The sequence below is a fragment of the Homo sapiens genome, chromosome 12 (genome assembly GCF_000001405.40).
Source record: "Homo sapiens chromosome 12, GRCh38.p14 Primary Assembly".
NCBI classification, from domain to species: Eukaryota; Metazoa; Chordata; class Mammalia; order Primates; family Hominidae; genus Homo; species Homo sapiens.
Window position 1 is genome coordinate 122,694,522 of NC_000012.12, and position 19,246 is coordinate 122,713,767.

General features: G+C 46.2%; 1 protein-coding gene and 2 non-coding genes across 3 annotated transcripts, besides 1 other annotated feature; all 3 read right to left on the reverse strand.

Moving 5' to 3' along the window:
* Positions 1–1,385: 1,385 nt before the first annotated feature.
* MIR9902-1 (microRNA 9902-1) lies at positions 1,386–1,478 on the reverse strand. Its single transcript, NR_162094.1, has one exon. It is a non-coding gene; the product is annotated as a microRNA 9902-1 (primary transcript).
* Positions 1,479–6,771: 5,293 nt separating this feature from the next.
* HCAR2 (hydroxycarboxylic acid receptor 2) lies at positions 6,772–8,836 on the reverse strand. The gene has a single exon (NM_177551.4). It carries the CDS (start codon positions 8,760–8,762, stop codon positions 7,671–7,673), a length of 1,092 nt encoding a protein of 363 aa, NP_808219.1. The 5' UTR covers positions 8,763–8,836; the 3' UTR covers positions 6,772–7,670.
* Positions 13,607–13,807: a silencer, noted in NCBI's record as "peak2022 fragment used in MPRA reporter construct". NCBI's record gives its function as "represses an SCP1 promoter by STARR-seq MPRAs in K562 erythroleukemia cells {active_cell/tissue: K562}" and the evidence as "EXISTENCE:reporter gene assay evidence [ECO:0000049][PMID:32103011]".
* Positions 14,811–14,903, reverse strand: MIR9902-2 (microRNA 9902-2). Its single transcript, NR_162150.1, has one exon. It is a non-coding gene; the product is annotated as a microRNA 9902-2 (primary transcript).
* Between the last annotated feature and the right edge of the window lie 4,343 nt (positions 14,904–19,246).

A 19,246-nucleotide genomic window follows, 5' to 3' on the forward strand; every position in this document is an offset into this window, starting at 1 on the left:
AGCAATTTTATTGAGTCCAAGTCAGAAAAGTGGAAGAAAAATGTGAAAGCATTAGTTTGGAAAACATTAGTTTGGAGCATTAGTTCATTAGCTTCAGGACAGCCATAGTTAAAGGTGCAGTCAACAAGAAAAACTGGTTATCTCTGTGACACACAACAATTTTTAAAATTTAGTTTAATTTTTTTGAAACAGGGTCTCACTCTGTCACGCAGGCTGGAGTGCAGTGGTGTGATCACAGCTCACTGCAGCCACAAAGAATTCAGGATTTAGTCCAAATTGCAGAAAATAACAAAAACTCAAGAACAGTGGACTAGAATCTAACAATGGGTGTACTATAGCTTTTGAAACATAGTTTTTCTCTCTTTAGTCCCCATTTTTATTAAAAACAAATAATAGTAGGACACATGTAATTGCAAAATAAGTCTTAGTCTTATTATACTTGGCCTGATTATTTGTATAACATACAGCAAGAATAATTATTTGCCATATAGGCTCTTTAAAATTGGCTTTGCTGGTCAGGCATGGTGGCTTACACCTGCAATCCCAGCACTTTGGGAGGCCAAGGTGGGAGAAACACTTGAGCCCAGGAGTTCAAGACCAGCCTGGGCAACATAGCGAGATCCCCGTCTCTACAAAAATTAGCCAGGTGTGGTGACGCGTGCCTGTAGTCCCAGCTACTTGGGAGGCTGAGGTGGGAGAATCGCCTGAGCCCGGATGACAGAGCAAGGCCGTGGCCCAAAAATAAATAAATAAATAAAAACAAAATTAGCTTTCCTGAAATTTCATTCCCTAAGGAATCTCACCTTATACTTTTTAAAGCCTTTAGCCCAGCCATGGATTTATCTATGCCTGCAAATACCTGTATGAGTTGGGAGAATTTTCCTCCTCTCAAGGTCCCAAGATAATTTGGGCTTCTGGGCCTGTCAGAAAGTGACATTCTTTACTTACGACAAGTCAGGAACCCTGTATAGAGACTGCATATACAAGGTATAAGGCCAGTTTTCTTGAAGAGCTTTTTTTTTTTTTGAGATGGAGTCTTACTCTTGTCGCCCAGGCTGGAGTGCAATGGCATGATCTCGGATCACTGCAACCTCTGCCTCCTGGGTTCAAGCGATTCTCCTGCCTCAGGCTCCTGAGTAGCTGGGATTACAGGCACCCGCCACCACGCCTGGCTAATTTTTGTATTGTTAGTAGAAACGGGGCTTCACCATGTTGGCCAGGCTGGTCTTGAACTTCCCGACCTCAGGTGATCTGCCCACCTCGACCTCCCAAAGTGCTGGAATTACAGCCACTGTGCCCAGTTATAAATCCCTTTTTCAATTAATCAAACCCTTGCAGAGGAGACAAACAATGATGTTTACCATTCACAGAGAGAGAGAGTGAGAGAGAGACAGAGAGAGAGAGACCAGAAGCCTGGCTTGTCAGAAGTTCTTACTCTCTTTGCTGGCATACCAGATTTCTGGGTTCCCTTTCCCTGCAGCTTCCAGAACAATGGAAAATCACCACGAGTCAGGCCTGTTGCGCTTCCGCTAACAGTTCCTTCAGGGTTCAGCAAATGTGACAGACCAGACAAACTAGGAGAGCCTGTTGGACTTCCATCAGCAATTCCTGTACATACACAAACACTCAAGTGAAAAAGACAAGCAGAAGGACTTGCAGACAGAGACTCCAGACCAAATCACAAACCAAGAATGTTCCTCCAAACAAGTCCCCTATTCTTGATCCAGTTAGAGCAGACACCCCCTTCAGAGAGGCCAGCAGGTCAGAAGGATGAGGTTGTTGGAAGCACCTAGAATACTCACCAAATCAGACACCCATGATGGGGCTACAGGAGCGGGACATCTCCCCAGGACTGTTTATTGCATTTGAATCCATGCACCATGAGTTGGCAACACCCTGCTGGTAGAGACGGTGCTACAGTTAGCCCCCAGTCCAAGAACTAAATTGCCACTTGGGCGGGCCTCCAGATCCATCGCTGGTGGAGGGCTAACAAACGTCAGGCAGGTATCCACAAGGATGGTCCCGGATGACTCCCCAGATTTGCAACCACCCAGTGGAGTTCTCCTTGTCCACTGCCTAGACAAAGCCAATTTATCAAGACAGGGGGCCGGGCCGATGGCTCACACCTGTAATCATAACATTTTGGGAAGCCAAGGCAGGCAGATCACCTGAGGTCAGAAGTTTGAGACCAGCCTGGCCAACATGATGAACACCCGTCTCTACTAAAAATACAAAATTAGCCGGACATGGTGGTGCATGCTTGTAATCCCTACTACTTGGGAGGGTGAGGCAGGAGAATAGCTTGAACCGGGGAGGTAGAGGTTGCAGTGAGCTGAGATCACGACATTGCACTCCAGCCTGTGAAACTCTGTCTCAAAAGAAAAAAAAAAAAAACAAGACAGGGGAATTGCAATAAAGTTTAATTCCTGCAGGGCCATCTGTACAAGAGACCAGAGTTTTATCATTATTCAAATCAGAGAATCCAGGATCAGAGTTTTTAAGGCTAATTTGGTGGGTAGGGGCTTGGGAAGTGGGGAATGCTGGTTGGCTGGGTTAGAAATGAAATCATAGGGGTCAAAGTGAATTTTCTTATTGTCTTCTGTTCCTGGGTGGGATGGCAGAACTGGTTGAGCCAGATTACTGGACTGGGTGGTGTCAGGGGGTGCATCAGAGTGCAGGGTTCTGCAAAATACCTCAAGCACTGATTTTAGGTTTTGCAACAGTGATGTTATTCCCAGGAGCAATTTGGGAAGGTTCAGAATCTTGCAGCCAGAGGTTGCGTGGCTTGTAAACCGTAATTTCTAATCTTATAGCTAATTTGTTAGTCCTGCAAAGGCAGTCTAGCCCTCAGGCAGGAAGGGGGTTCGTTTTGGGAAAGGGCTGTTATTGTCTTTGTTTCAAAGTTAACCTATAAACAAGTTCCTCCCAAAGTTAGTTTGGCCTATGCCCAGTACTGAACGAGGACAGCTTGGAGGTTAGAAGAAAGATGGAGTGAGGTTAGATCTATTTCACCATCATAATTTTCTCAGTTATAATTTTTGCAAAGGCGATTTCGCACTCACTTCAGGTAAGGCATTGTGGGGCAAATAAGAGAATGAACCTCGAAAGGGAAGGGAGCTCAAAGAATCAGAAATGAACATGATCTTGCTCCCCTGACTTTATGGATCTAGACTTAGAGATAATCTCTTGATGCTGGAAAGAGATTGTTGGGAAGAGCTGTGAGGAAGTTCTGGTCTACATACCAGAGAGTGAACTCATGAATCTTGTGACCCTAAGAACTAAGCCCCCAAAATAAACAGCTGCAAGACAGGTTTAAAGGCAGTAATGCAAAATAGATGCATATATGATTATAACCACCTTTTCCAATATATAGACACATAGACAGATCTACATACATAAATTCTGTCTTCCTCTTCCTCTCTCTCGTTTCACACACACACACAAACACACACACAGGAAATGTAGAAGATACTTTCCAATGGCTCAGCCTGAGTATCAGAGTGTCTCTTGCTTGCTTGCTTGCTTGCTTGCTTGCTTGCTTTTTTCTTCTTTTCTTCCTTTCTTTCTTACTTTCTTTTCTTTCTTTCTTTCTTTCTTTCTTTCTTTCTTTCTTTCTTTCTTTCTTTCTTTCTTTCTTTCTTTCTTTCATCTCTCTCTCTCTCTTTCTTTCTTCTTTTTTTTTTTTTTTGAGACAAGTTCTTACTCTGTCACCCTGGCTGGAGTGCAGTGGCCTGATCATAGCTCATGGCAGCCTCAAACTCCTGGGCTCAAGTGATCCTCCCACCACAGCCTCCCAAGTAGCTAGGACTGCATGTGTGTGCCACCATGCCTGGCTAAATATTTACATTTTTTGTACAGATGGAGTCTTGCTATGTTGCCCAGGCTGGTCTTGAACTCCTGGGCTCACATGATCCACCCGCTTTGGCCTCCAAAAGTGCTGAGGTTACAGGGGTGAGCCACTGTGCCCGGCCTGGTGTATATTCTTGTAGTCTGTTGTTCCACACACAAGTACACAGATACACGTATTTTAAAAGAAAATGGATATCATATTCTGTTTAGAAACTTTTTCATTTAAATATAGTATGATCTTCATCTCAAGTCTTTCATTACTTTTGTCTGAAAGAGGATCACAACCTCACTATATGGCAGGCCCCACGCTCATCATGCTGGCCACATTGTTCCTCACTATAGTCGGTTGAGTTCTGGTTCCCAACAGCTATGTTCACCCCAAACCTTAGAATACAACCTTATTTGGAATAAGGGTCTTTGTAGGTATAACTAAGGTAAAGATCTCAAGATGAGAGCATCCTGGATTAGGGTGGGTTATAAAGACAGGCATATTTATGGCCAGGCCTGCTGGATCACACCTGTAATCCCAACACTTTGGGAGGCTGAGGCAGGTGGATCACCTGAGGTCAGGAGTTCAAGACCAGCCTAGCCAACATGGCAAAACCCTGTCTCTACTAAAAATAGAAAAATTAGACAGGTGTGGGGGTGCATGCCTATAATCCCAGCTGTGTGAGAGGCTGAGGAAGGAGAACCGCTTGAGCCCGGGAGGCAGAGTTGCAGTGAGCCGAGATGAAGCCACTGCATTCCAGCCTGGGTGACAGAGCGAGACTCTGTCTCAAATACAGACCAAAAAAAAAAGAGAAGAAAAGACAGGTGTCTGTAAGAAGAGAGGACACAGAGGGGACCACCATGTGGTGACAGGGGCAGAGATTGGAGTGAAGCGTCTACAAGCCAAGGAAAGTCCAAGAGTGCCAGCAGTCTCCGAAAGCTCGGAGTGAGGCATGAAACATTTTCCCTTAGCCTCCAGATGGAACCAACCCTGCCAACACCTTGATTCTGCACTTCTAGCTTCTAGATCTGTGGGAGAATACATTTCTATTGTTCCAAGCCACCCAGCCACAGGAAATGAACACGCAGTCACCAACCTAATTCTCACCTCAGGGCCTTTGCACTTACCATTCCCTCTGCTTGGCGTGTCTTTCCCCCAGACTTTTGCATTGCTTTTCTGTTTAGTCATTCATGGCTCAGCTCAGGGTCAATGCCTCATAGAAGCCATCCCAGTCACCCCAGCCCCGGTTACTTTTTATCCCCATTGTCCCACTCCACCATAGTCATGACACCCATAGCCACCCCAAGGCTCCTTTTTATTCCTGCCTGTCTCCCCACTCCAAAAGTCAGCTCGATGAGAAGAGGACTGTGGCTGCCTTGTTTCTTGTTCTATCTCCACCACCCAGAACAGCGCCTGGCACACAGTTGGTGCTTAATACATAAAACTGATGGAATGAGGCTGGGCACAGTGGCTCACACCTGTAATCCCAGCACTTTGGGAGGCTGAGGCAGGTGGATCACCTGAGGTCAGGAGTTCAAGACCAGCCTGGGCAACATGGCGAGACCCCACCTCTACTAAAAATACAAAAATTAGCCAGGCATGGTGGTGCACACCTGTAATCCCAGCTACTGGGGGGGCTGAGGTAGGAGAATCACTTGAACCCAGGAGGCAGAGGCTGCAGTGAACCCAGATCACACCACTGCACTCCAGCCTAGATGACAGAGTGAGACTCGGTCTCAAAAAAAAAAAAAAAACAAAGAACTGATGGAATGCCTGAATCAGTGAATGAATGTGAGCTGTGGAGGTCCAAACACCCCAAACCACCTCATCCCTTGAACGAATCCGCGTTTCACAACGAGGCTCCCCACTGACTCATGCCTCCGAGGCTGGGGAATCCCTATTTTCCTCTGAGCTCATCCCTGACATCTCTTCCTCTTTAAGGTGATCCTTGCTTTTGGCTTTTTACCTGTACATTGCTTGGTGATACAGACAAGCCAACTGCTCTGAAAGCACAGAGGTAATTCCAGAGCATCCACCTTTCTTCATTTACTGTCATTCACCCAGAGCTGGGAGCCTGTCTCTAAATTCCTTATCTGTGTTCATGTCAGGAGGTTGAAGCAAGCCTCGTCTTGCCAAATAATCAAGGACTGACAGAGTTAGAAATGAAAGCGTAACAGAAACTTGGACTGATCACAGACTCAAACCAGTACATCTCCTTTCCTTCTCTGAATTGGGAACTGAAACCATTCCATAGGAAGCTCGCTCTTCCCCCTCCTATGGAAAAATATCTGCCTGGCTTGATTCCCTTTTTATATTATTTATTATTATTATTTGAGATGAAGTCTTGCTCTGTCCCCCAGGCTGGAGTGCAGGCACACCACCTCGGCTCACTGCAACCTCCGCCTCCTGGGTTCAAGCAATTCTTCTTCCCCCAGCCTTCCCAGTAGCTGGGACTACAAGCGGCCGCCACCATGCCTGGCTAATTTTTCTTGTATTTTTAGTAGAAGTGGGGTTTCGCCATGTTGTCCAGGCTGGTCTCAAACTCCTGACCTCAGGGTGATCTGCCCACCTCGGTCCCCTCAAAGTGCTGGGATTACAGGCATGAACCATTGCACCTGGCCTTGATTCCCTGTTTAATGCACAAATACTAAGAGCAATATTCACCAAACTCTAATAAAATGTAAGTGCTCTTGCGATCCTATCTGTACTATCCTTCCAAATTATTTTTAATCCCAGCTCTTTCTATCTTTGTTTAGACACAGGTGTAATTTCTGCTTAGTTGTTTCATGATGTAGCTCAGTGTCTGTGTCTCTTTCTTACTTTGCAGTGTGGAGTAGTTTTCTACCAGGACAGAGTTAACAACCCATAAAGGTCTCTGCTTAAGTAAGAAGTCCATTTCTGTGAACCATAACCCAGATATAGCAACGCCAGACTGTCTCCTATCAAAATTTATTGAAATGGTAGATTTTTGGTAAGTACAGAAACACAAGCGAAGGAACCAGGAGGAACGTGCACCCCTCTAACTGTGGGGCAGAGGCACATTTCCCTTTTAATGTTAAAAGCAAACAGAGGTGGGAAACAGCTTTCTATCCTGAAGCCGTTTTAACTGCCCAACCCTTAGATTACTATAAACAAGAGAGGAATGGATTGCATTAGTCGCTGGTTGAAAGCAGCAATGCCATTTCCTTTCCCATAATAACACTGTTTAGCTCAGTCCCTTCTGGGGCTAATCCCCTATTACACCCACCGGAAACACAGATATTAACCAAAGCGTGTGAGTCTCTTCCCTGAGTCCATTTCTGCTAAAGCTTGTCTGAAAGATGAATTGGTCCACGGAAGCCAGGTGACCTACTGGCTTGTTTAATGATGCCTGGGCTCCCTCCAGGAGCAACACAATTCCCTCCAATCTCAGCTCTCCTTATCCCTGCTAGAGCTCACAAGCAGGCTAGATATCACCCCAGGAGCTGAGCCCCCTCCAGTCTGAGGCAGATGTGGGAAGAAGGCCAACAAGTCACAAGTAGATCTCTGGCTCCAACTCTGCTCAGCAGAAATGCCTACAATTTGCCCATCTTCAGTCCTGCGAGCGTCAGAGATGAAGCAAAAGTTTCAGATGCCTAGAAGCTTTACTCTCTATTCCTCCAGGATTCCTGCGGTCACACCTTGCAACCAGTCTCCCACTCATCTGCCACCGTTTCCCTAAATCGCATTCTCTGAATCTGGAAGTTCCAGGAAACCTTAGGCCGAGTCCAGTGACATTACTCGATGCAACAGCCCAACTGTTTCTCCAGAGATCCTGGTTCTTGGTGACAATGTCCCTTCTTGGCATGGTTATTTAAGGAGAGGTTGGGCCCAGATAAGAGGGGCTCCATGGCTCACCGGAGTTGGCCATTAACGCCTCTGGAGCGCCTCTGGTTTTGTTGGGGTCCCCTGTGAGCTCGACGCTCGTGCTGCGGTTATTATCTGGCTCACCTGTCATCTTCCTCTGGAGGCAGCGGTTGATCAAAGTGGAGAAGAAGTTGGGAAAGGATGGGCTGGAGAAGTAGTACACCACGGGGTCCAGCATGCTGTTCATGTAGGTGAAGCTGAGAGTGATAAAGAACGCCAGGTCCACCGAGCGGTACACTTCACAATTCTGCGTGCCCGAAGTGTGCAGGAGCCAGAAGATGCGGATCCGCACAACCACGCTGGGAAGGAAGCAGATGACAAAGACGATGGCCACCACCATGATGAAGGTGATGGCTCTCTTGATCTTGGCATGCCGGTCCATTTGTCTCTGCCGCAGGCTCCAGATAATTCTGGCTGAGCAGAACAGGATGATGCCCAGGGGCAGGAAGAACTCCAGGAGGAACATGGCTTCGTGCCACTGGAAGGTATGGCAGATGCTGAAGCTGCTGCACAAATTTGCACCGCCATTCTGGATCGGCATCTTCTTCTTCAGGAGGTGGACTGTCAGGCCAATAGTGATGCCCCACAGAAGGCAAGAGATGATGGCTGCTGTCCGATTGGAGATCTTGTTCAGGGCGTGGTGGGGATGGACCACCCGGAAATACCTGTCTACCGCCACCACCGTGAGGAAGATGATGCTGCCCTGGCGGTTCATAGCCAACATGAAGAGCATCAGCCGGCAAGGGATGTCCCCAAACTTCCAGTCCCAACGCCTCACATAGTTGTCCATCAGGAAGGGCAGGCAGATGATCAGTAGAAAGTCAGCCACTGCCAGGTTGAACAGGAAAATCCGGCTGGATTTCCAGGACTTGAGGTGGAAACAGAAAATCCACAGGGCAAGGCCATTGCCCAGAAGCCCGAAGATAAACTCCAGCCCCAACACCGGCGGCAACACCTTGACAATGAAGTCATCTCGGAACACACAGCAGTTCTTCTTGTCTATTTCCAGAAAGTGATCCTGCAGATGGTGCCGATTCATGAGTGCGGCTAGTGAGTCCGATGGAGCGCCTCGCCTAGTGAATGCTCCAGCAAGGAGGTGTGTGTCTGTGTGGTGAACGTGTGGTTCCACGCCTGCCTTTATGTCATGTCAGGGTGTTGAAATAGATGACTGAATGGTTACCAGGAAACTACGAAATCTCTAAAAAAAAAAAAAAAAAAAAAAGCCAGCAAGGCTCTTATGCAACCTGCTGTTTGCATAAACAAGTAATAAGAATCCCCTGGGCAGACGGGAACCCACAAAATGTCTTAAATGTAAAGGATAAGTTTAGGCAAGCCGACTGTCATTCGAAAATCAGTGAAACATGAAGGACATCCCTTTGGAAGGCTGGGTGCTTGTATGCCAACTGAGTACTCAACGTTGCAGAATTAATTCACCGTCATCTGCTTGGCTGACATAATTAACAAAACAACAACAATAGCAATAACAATTTTTGGTGCCAAACAGTGAGGTTTTCCAGAAACACTAAGAATTAGCATGAAAAATTAACAGGCATATGACATAAACAGTAGCAGACATATGATTTCTTTTGGAAATGCTGAGAAGACAGTAGTTGCCTGTTTGATGAGGACAGACTGGTTGAATTTGACCACTTTTCCTATGCTACCTTTCTGTACAAACATGGAGTGCTTTTCCATATCAGAACTCTGCCATTCATCTCCAGTTAGGAAAAAAAAAATAGCCTGCTGGAGAGTGTAATATTTCATAAGACATTTGAAAACTTGAGCCCAGTTTCAGTGGCATGTTAACATAAGTTGGGTTTTTTGTTTGTTTATATTAGATTTTGATATGCTTCTGTGCTCAAGTGATTTATTTTTAAGTATGTGATTTCTTTTTTTTGCAAACTTTGAATTAATGAGAAAAAGGATTCATGAGGCTAGTCGTAAGCTGTAGCAAATCGGGTGTACTTTGTGCTACAAATTTGTTTTTCTGTGTCGCTCTGCATGAAGAGGGGTACCTTAGGATAGAGCATGGGGTTAGTACCCCATAAGCTGTCTGTTCTAGACAGCCCAGGAAACTGGTCAGTAAGAAAGTTGGTTGCAGGTCCCTGAAACAAACAAAAAACTGGATGAGGTCTCTAACTTGTTTTATGTCCTTGGGACCTTAGGATGTGATTTTTTTTTTTTGAGACAGAGTCTCACTCTGTCACCCAGGCTGGAGAACGGTGGAACAATCTCAGCTCACTGCAACCTCCGCCTCCCAGGTTCAAGCAATTCTTCTGCCTCAGCCTCCTGAGTATCTGGGACTACAGGCGTGCGCCACCACGCCCAGCTAATTTTTTGTATTTTTAGTAAAGACGAGGTTTCACTGTGTTGGCCAGGCTGGTCTCAAACTCCTGACCTTGTGATCCGTCTGCCTCGGCCTCCCAAAGTGCTGGGATTACAGGCGTGAGCCACCGCGCCTGGCCGTGATTTTTTTTAATGAACTTTATTTTTTGGGGCAGTGTTAGATTCACAGCAAAATGGAGCAGAAAGTACGGACGGTCCTGTGCACTCTGTCTCCACACACGCAAAACCTCCCCCACTAAGTATGTGATATTTTCAAAGCCCCCATTTTTGTAAAATTAAACTTAGAGTGACAGGACCTAAGAGGACATGGAACCCCGCCTTGTAGCGGGACACCATTGCACACATTGTTTCTCTGCTTGTCAGTGCGATTGGGTGTCATCCTATAGAATGTTTTCTCCCTTTAATATTTTGGTCTTATGAATTCTTCCATGCAGGAGGTTTCTAAATTGTGTTCCTTCTACTTTGAGTTATAAAATGTAAATTTCTTCCTTTTTTTTTTTTTTTCTGTTTTTTCTTTTGAGATGGAGTTTCGCTCTGTCGCCCAGGCTGGAGTGCAGTGGCATGATCTTGGCTCACTGCAACCTCTGCCTCCCGGGTTCATGCCATTCTCCTGCCTCAGCCTCCCAAGTAGCTGAGACTACAGGTGCAAGCCACCATGCCTGGCTAATTTTTGTATTTTTAGTAGAGATGGATTTCACCATTTTGGCCAGGCTGGTCTTGAACTCCTGACTTCAAGTGATCCTCCCGCCTTGGCATCCCAAAATGCTGGGATTGCAGGTGTGAACCATCGCTGCCACCATAAGATGTCAATTTATTTCTTTAGCTGCAAACGCAGGTTCAATAATAGGAGCTTATAGACTCTTCACAGTAAACTAGAGTCAGGATGACCTAATATTAGATTCCCATAGAACTACAAGTACTTGATGATGATCCAGGTGAGATGAAGACGATGATGAAGAAGATGATGGTGGCACCTACATTATAGAGAGCTTCCCATGTGCTGGAACCCATACTCAGTGCTTTTTTTTTTTTGAGACAAAGTCTCGCTCTTGCCTCACTGCAAGCTCCGCCTCCCGGGTTCACGCCATGCTGCCTCAGCCTCCCGAGTAGCTGGGACTACAGGCACCCACCACCATGCCCAGCTAATTTTTTATATTTTTAGTAGAGACGGGATTTCACCGTGTTAGCCAGGAGCTCAGTGCTTTTATAGTTGCTTGTTTCACCCTGACTGTAGCCCATGTGGAAGGTATTATTACTGATTCTGATTTCAAAATGAGGAAAGTGAAGCTCAGAGAGGATAAAATATTCAGGGCCACCCAGCTCATAAGAGCAGAGCATGGCCGGGCATGGTGGCTCACGCCTGTAATCCCAACACTTTGGGAGGCCGAGACGGGAGGATCACAAGGTCAGGAGATCCAGACCATCTTGGCCAATATGGTGAAACCCCGTCTCTACTAAAATTTACAAAAATTAGCTGGGTGTGGTGGCGGGCGCCTATAATCCCAACTACTTGGGAGGCTGAGGCAGGAGAATCGCTTGAACCAGGGAGTTGGAGGTTGCAGAGAACCGAGATTGTGCCACTGCACTGCAGCCTGGGTGACAGAGTGAGACTCCACCAAAAAAAAAAAAAAAAAAAAAAAAAGCCGGGCACGGTGGCTCACGCCTGTAATCCCAGCACTTTTGGAGGCTGAGGTGGGTGGATCACGAGGTCAGGAGTTTGATACCAGCCTGGTCAACATGGTGAAACCCCATCTCTACTAAAATACAAAATTTAGCTGGGTGTGGTGGCACATGCCTGTAATCCCAGATACTCAGGAGGCTGAGGCAGGAGAACTGCTTGAACTGGGACCCAGGAGGCGGAGGTTGCGGTGAGCCGAGATCACACCATTGCACTACAGCCTGGGCAACAAGAGGGAAACTCTGTCTCAAAAAAAAAAAAACAACAACAAACACAGGCGTGGTGGTTCATGCCTATAATCCCAGCACTTTGGGAGACCAAGGCAGGAGGATTGCTTGAGCCCAGGAGTTCAAGACTAGTCTAGGCAATAAAGTGAGACTTTGTCTATGGAAAAAAAAAAAAAAAGAAGAAGAAGCCTTTGTAGAATTGATCTTAAGCTCTGAGGGATCCAGGTGAATAGCTCCAAGAATCAGTCAGACATGGGTCACTAGCAGAGAGAGTTGGGTCAAAGGTTTTTGGACAAACATATTGGGATAGACAAGAATGAGTGAATTTCATTTTATTTTACTTTATTTTATTTGGTACTGCTCCTTGTGGATCAGGGCTAACTCATAGGCAATGCACCTATAGTCAGCCAGGAAGGAGCAAGTTTAAATACACTGTCCCATATATTATTAATCAGTTTCCTAGTCCTGGGACTAGATCAGTTCAGTTAAACAGCTGTTTCCCATATCAGGAGGTGGCATTGCACACGGGCTAGGCCTCTATACATGATGAAGACAAACAGATTTTTAATACGAGGCATTTCTATGGAAATATAAGAAAAACAAAAGTTAATGTTGGGCACAATTTATCCAGATGTGAAACTCAAAATACCTTTAGTTATAGAGCAGGAAGGCAGTGGTAATCTGACATGTTTTTGCCACCTATATTAAAAGAATAAGCTTCAGCTTACAGGGCCTCAGGAAAAAAGGTAGTAGCAATTTTATTGAGTCCAAGTCAGAAAAGTGGAAGAAAAATGTGAAAGCATTAGTTTGGAAAACATTAGTTTGGAGCATTAGTTAGGTAAGCTTCAGGACAGCCATAGTTAAAGGTGCAGTCAACAAGAAAAACTGGTTATCTCTGTGACACACAATTTTTAAAATCTGGTTTAATTTTTTTGAAACAGGGTCTCACTCTGTCACGCAGGCTGGAGTGCAGTGGTGTGATCACAGCTCACTGCAGCCACAAAGAATTCAGGATTTAGTCCAAATTGCAGAAAATAACAAAAACTCAAGAACAGTGGACAAGACTAGAATCTAACAATGGGTGTACTATAGCTTTTGAAACATAGTTTTTCTCTCTTTAGTCCCCATTTTTATTAAAAACAAATAGTAGTAGGACAAATGTAATTGCGAAATAAGTCTTAGTCTTATTATACTTGGCCTGATTATTTGTATAACGTACAGCAAGAATAATTATTTGCCATATAGGCTCTTTAAAATTGGCTTTGCTGGTCAGGCATGGTGGCTTACACCTGTAATCCCAGCACTTTGGGAGGCCAAGGTGGGAGAAACACTTGAGCCCAGGAGTTCAAGACCAGCCTGGGCAACATAGCGAGATCCCCGTCTCTACAAAAATTAGCCAGGTGTGGTGACGCGTGCCTGTAGTCTCAGCTACTTGGGAGGCTGAGGTGGGAGAATCGCCTGAGCCTGGATGACAGAGCAAGGCCATGGCCCAAAAATAAATAAATAAATAAAAACAAAATTAGCTTTGCTGAAATTTCATTCCCTAAGGAATCTCACCTTATACTTTTTAAAGCCTTTAGCCCAGCCATGGATTTATCTATGCCTGCAAATACCTGTATGAGTTGGGAGAATTTTCCTCCTCTCAAGGTCCCAAGATAATTTGGGCTTCTGGGCCTGTCAGAAAGTGACATTCTTTACTTATGACAAGTCAGGAACCCTGTACAGAGACTGCATATACAAGGTATAAGCCCAGTTTTCTTTTTTTCTTTTTTTTTTTTTATTGATCATTCTTGGGTGTTTCTCGCGGAGGGGGATTTGGCAGGGTCACAGGACAATAGTGGAGGGAAGGTCAGCAGATAAACAAGTGAACAAAGGTCTCTGGTTTTCCTAGGCAGAGGACCCTGCGGCCTTCCGCAGTGTTTGTGTCCCTGGGTACTTGAGATTAGGGAGTGGTGATGACTCTTAACGAGCGTGCTGCCTTCAAGCATCTGTTTAACAAAGCACATCTTGCACCGCCCTTAATCCATTCAACCCTGAGTGGACACAGCACATGTTTCAGAGAGCACAGGGTTGGGGGTAAGGTCACAGATCAACAGGATCCCAAGGCAGAAGAATTTTTCTTAGTACAGAACAAAATGAAAAGTCTCCCATGTCTACCTCTTTCTACACAGACACGGCAATCATCCGATTTCTCAATCTTTTCCCCACCTTTCCCGCCTTTCTATTCCACAAAACCGCCATTGTCATCATGGCCCGTTCTCAATGAGCGGTTGGGTACACCTCCCAGACGGGGTGGTGGCCGGGCAGAGGGGCTCCTCACTTCCCAGGAGGGGCGGCCGGGCAGAGGCGCCCCTCACCTCCCCGACGGGGCGGCTGGCTGGGCGGGGGGCCGACCCCCCCCACCTCCCTCCCGGACGGGGCGGCTGGCCAGGCAAGGCCAGTTTTCTTGAAGAGCTTTTTTTTTTTTTTTTTTTTTTGAGATAGCATCTCACTCTTGTCGCACAGGCTGGAGTGCAATGGCATGATCTCGGATCACTGCAACCTCTGCCTCCTGGGTTCAAGCGATTCTCCTGCCTCAGGCTCCTGAGTAGCTGGGATTACAGGCACCCGCCACCACGCCTGGCTAATTTTTGTATTTTTAGTAGAAACGGGGCTTCACCATGTTGGCCAGGCTGGTCTTGAACTTCCCGACCTCAGGTGATCTGCCCACCTCGACCTCCCAAAGTGCTGGAATTACAGCCACTGTGCCCAGTTATAAATCCTTTTTTCAATTAATCAAACCCTTGCAGAGGAGACAAACAATGATGTTTACCATTCACAGAGAGAGAGAGTGAGAGAGAGACAGAGAGAGAGAGACCAGAAGCCTGGCTTGTCAGAAGTTCTTACTCTCTTTGCTGGCATACCAGATTTCTGGGTTCCCTTTCCCTGCAGCTTCCAGAACAATGGAAAATCACCACGAGTCAGGCCTGTTGCGCTTCCGCTAACAGTTCCTTCAGGGTTCAGCAAATGTGACAGACCAGACAAACTAGGAGAGCCTGTTGGACTTCCATCAGCAATTCCTGTACATACACAAACACTCAAGTGAAAAAGACAAGCAGAAGGACTTGCAGACAGAGACTCCAGACCAAATCACAAACCAAGAATGTTCCTCCAAACAAGTCCCCTATTCTTGATCCAGTTAGAGCAGACACCCCCTTCAGAGAGGCCAGCAGGTCAGAAGGATGAGGTTGTTGGAAGCACCTAGAATACTCACCAAATCAGACACCCATGATGGGGCTACAGGAGCGGGACATCTCCCCAGGACTGTTTATTGCATTTGAATCCATGCACCATGAGTTGGCAACACCCTGCTGGTAGAGACGGTGCTACAGTTAGCCCCCAGTCCAAGAACTAAATTGCCACTTGGGCGGGCCTCCAGATCCATCGCTGGTGGAGGGCTAACAAACGTCAGGCAGGTATCCACAAGGATGGTCCCGGATGACTCCCCAGATTTGCAACCACCCAGTGGAGTTCTCCTTGTCCACTGCCTAGACAAAGCCAATTTATCAAGACGGGGCCAGGCCAGGTGGCTCACGCCTGTAATCATAACATTCCGGGAAGCCAAGGCAGGCAGATCACCTGAGGTCAGAAATTTGAGACCAGCCTGGCCAACATGATGAAAACCCATCTCTACTAAAAATACAAAATTAGCCGGACATGGTGGTGCATGCTTGTAATCCCTACTACTTGGGAGGGTGAGGCAGGAGAATAGCTTGAACCGGGGAGGTAGAGGTTACAGTGAGCTGAGATCACGACATTGCACTCCAGCCTGTGAAACTCTGTCTCAAAAGAAAAAAAAAAAAAAAAAAAAAACAAGACAGGGGAATTGCAATAAAGTTTAATTCCTGCAGGGCCATCTGTACAAGAGACCAGAGTTTTATCATTATTCAAATCAGAGAATCCGGGATCAGCGTTTTTAAGGCTAATTTGGCAGGTAGGGGCTTGGGAAGTGGGGAATGCTGATTGTCTGGGTTAGAGATGAAATCATAGGGGTCAAAGTGAGTTTTCTTACTGTCTTCTGTTCCTGGGTGGGATGGCAGAACTGGTTGAGCCAGATTACTGGACTGGGTGGTGTCAGGGGGTGCATCAGAGTGCAGGGTCTGCAAAATACCTCAAGCACTGATTTTAGGTTTTGCAACAGTGATGTTATTCCCAGGAGCAATTTGGGAAGGTTCAGAATCTTGCAGCCAGAGGCTGCATGGCTGGTAAACCGTAATTTCTAATCTTATAGCTAATTTGTTAGTCCTGCAAAGGCAGTCTAGCCCTCAGGCAGGAAGGGGGTTCGTTTTGGGAAAGGGCTGTTATTGTCTTTGTTTCAAAGTTAAACTATAAACAAGTTCCTCCCGAAGTTAGTATGGCCTATGCCCAGTACTGAACAAGGACAGCTTGGAGGTTAGAAGAAAGATGGAGTGAGGTTAGATCTATTTCACCATCATAATTTTCTCCGTTATAATTTTTGCAAAGGCGGTTTCACCCTCACTTCAGGTAAGGCATTGTGGGGCAAATAAGAGAATGAACCTCGAAAGGGAAGGGAGCTCAAAGAATCAGAAATGAACATGATCTTGCTCCTCTGATTTTATGGATCTAGACTTAGGGATAATCTCTTGATGCTGGAAAGAGATTGTTGGGAAGAGCTGTGAGGAAGTTCTGGTCTACATAGCAGAGAGTGAACTCATGAATCTGGTGACCCCAAGAACTAAGCCCCCAAAATAAACAGCTGCAAGACAGGTTTAAAGGCAGTAATGCAAAATAGATGCATATATGATTATAACCACCTTTTCCAATATATAGACACATAGACAGATCTACATACATAAATTCTGTCTTCCTCTTCCTCTTTCTCCTTTCACACACACACCCACACACACACACACACACACAGAGCAAATGTAGAAGATACTTTCCAATGGCTCAGCCTGAGTATCAGAATGTCTTTCTGTCTCTTTCTTTCTTTCTTTCTTTCTTCCTTTCTTTCCTTCTTTCTTTCTTTCCTTTTCTTCCTTCCTTCCTTCTCTCTCTCTTTCTTTCTTTTCCTTCCCTTCCGTCCTTCTTTCTTTCTTTTTTCTTTTCCTTCCCTTCCTTCCTTCTTTCTTTCTTTTTTCTTTTTTTTTTTGAGACAAGGTCTCACTCTGTCGCCCTGGCTGGAGTGCAGTGGCCTGATCATAGCTCACGGCAGCCTCAAACTCCTGGGCTCAAGTGATCCTCCCACCACAGCCTCCCAAGTAGCTAGGACTGCATGTGTGTGCCACCATGCCTGGCTAAATATTTATATTTTTTGTACAGATGGAGTCTTGCTATGTTGCCCAGGCTGGTCTTGAACTCCTGGGCTCACATGATCCACCCGCTTTGGCCTCCAAAAGTGCTGAGATTACAGGGGTGAGCCACTGTGCCCAGCCTGGTGTGTGTTCCTGTAGTCTGTTGTTCCATACACAAGTACACAGATACACGTATTTTAAAAGAAAATGGATATCATATTCTGTTTAGAAACTTTTTCATTTAAATATAGTATGATCTTCATCTCAAGTCTTTCATTACTTTTGTCTGAAAGGGGATCACGACCTCACTATATGGCAGGCCCCACGCTCATCGTGCTGGCCACATTGTTCCTCACTATAGTCGGTTGAGTTCTGGTTCCCAACAGCTATGTTCACCCCAAACCTTAGAATACAACCTTATTTGGAATAAGGGTCTTTGTAGGTATAACTAAGGTAAAGATCTCAAGATGAGAGCATCCTGGATTAGGGTGGGTTATAAAGACAGGCATATTTATGGCCGGGCCTGCTGGATCACACCTGTAATCCCAACACTTTGGGAGGCTGAGGCAGGTGGATCACCTGAGGTCAGGAGTTCAAGACCAGCCTAGCCAACATGGCAAAACCCTGTCTCTACTAAAAATAGAAAAATTAGACAGGTGTGGGGGTGCATGCCTATAATCCCAGCTACGTGAGAGGCTGAGACAGGAGAATCGGTTGAGCCCAGGAGGCAGAGTTGCAGTGAGCCGAGATGAAGCCACTGCATTCCAGCCTGGGTGACAGAGCGAGACTCTGTCTCAAATACAGACCAAAAAAAAAAAAAGAAAAGAAAAGAAAAGAAAAGAAAAGAAAAGACAGGTGTCTGTAAGAAGAGGAGAGGACACAGAGGGGACCACCATGTGGTGACAGGGGCAGAGATTGGAGTGAAGCGTCTACAAGCCAAGGAAAGTCCAAGAGTGCCAGCAGTCTCCGAAAGCTCGGAGTGAGGCATGAAACATTTTCCCTTAGCCTCCAGATGGAACCAACCCTGCCAACACCTTGATTCTGCACTTCTAGCTTCTAGATCTGTGGGAGAATACATTTCTATTGTTCCAAGCCACCCAGCCACAGGAAATGAACATGCAGTCACCAACCTAATTCTCACCTCAGGGCCTTTGCACTTACCATTCCCTCTGCTTGGCGTGTCTTTCCCCCAGACTTTTGCATTGCTTTTCTGTTTAGTCATTCATGGCTCAGCTCAGGGTCAATGCCTCATAGAAGCCATCCCAGTCACCCCAGCCCCGGTTACTTTTTATCCCCATTGTCCCACTCCACCATAGTCATGACACCCATAGCCACCCCAAGGCTCCTTTTTATTCCTGCCTGTCTCCCCACTCCAAAAGTCAGCTCGATGAGAAGAGGACTGTGGCTGCCTTGTTCCTTGTTCTATCTCCACCACCCAGAACAGCGCCTGGCACACAGTTGGCGCTTAATACATAAAACTGATGGAATGAGGCTGGGCACAGTGGCTCACACCTGTAATCCCAGCACTTTGGGAGGCTGAGGCAGGTGGATCACCTGAGGTCAGGAGTTGGAGACCAGCCTGGGCAACACAGCGAAAGCCCATCTCTACTAAAAATACAAAAATTAGCCAGGCATGGTGGTGCACACCTGTAATCCCAGCTACTGGGGAGGCTGAGGTAGGAGAATCACTTGAACCCAGGAGGCAGAGGCTGCAGTGAACCCAGATCACACCACTGCACTCCAGCCTAGATGACAGAGTGAGACTCGGTCTCAAAAAAAAAAAAAAAACAAAGAACTGATGGAATGCCTGAATCAGTGAATGAATGTGAGCTGTGGAGGTCCAAACACCCCAAACCACCTCATCCCTTGAACGAATCCGCGTTTCACAACGAGGCTCCCCACTGACTCATGCCTCCGAGGCTGGGGAATCCCTATTTTCCTCTGAGCTCATCCCTGACATCTCTTCCTCTTTAAGGTG

Bases quoted from the DNA above. Each gene is read 5' to 3' on its own strand.
- HCAR2 (NM_177551.4), bottom strand. From the start codon at position 8,762: ATGAATCGGCACCATCTGCAGGATCACTTTCTGGAAATAGACAAGAAG.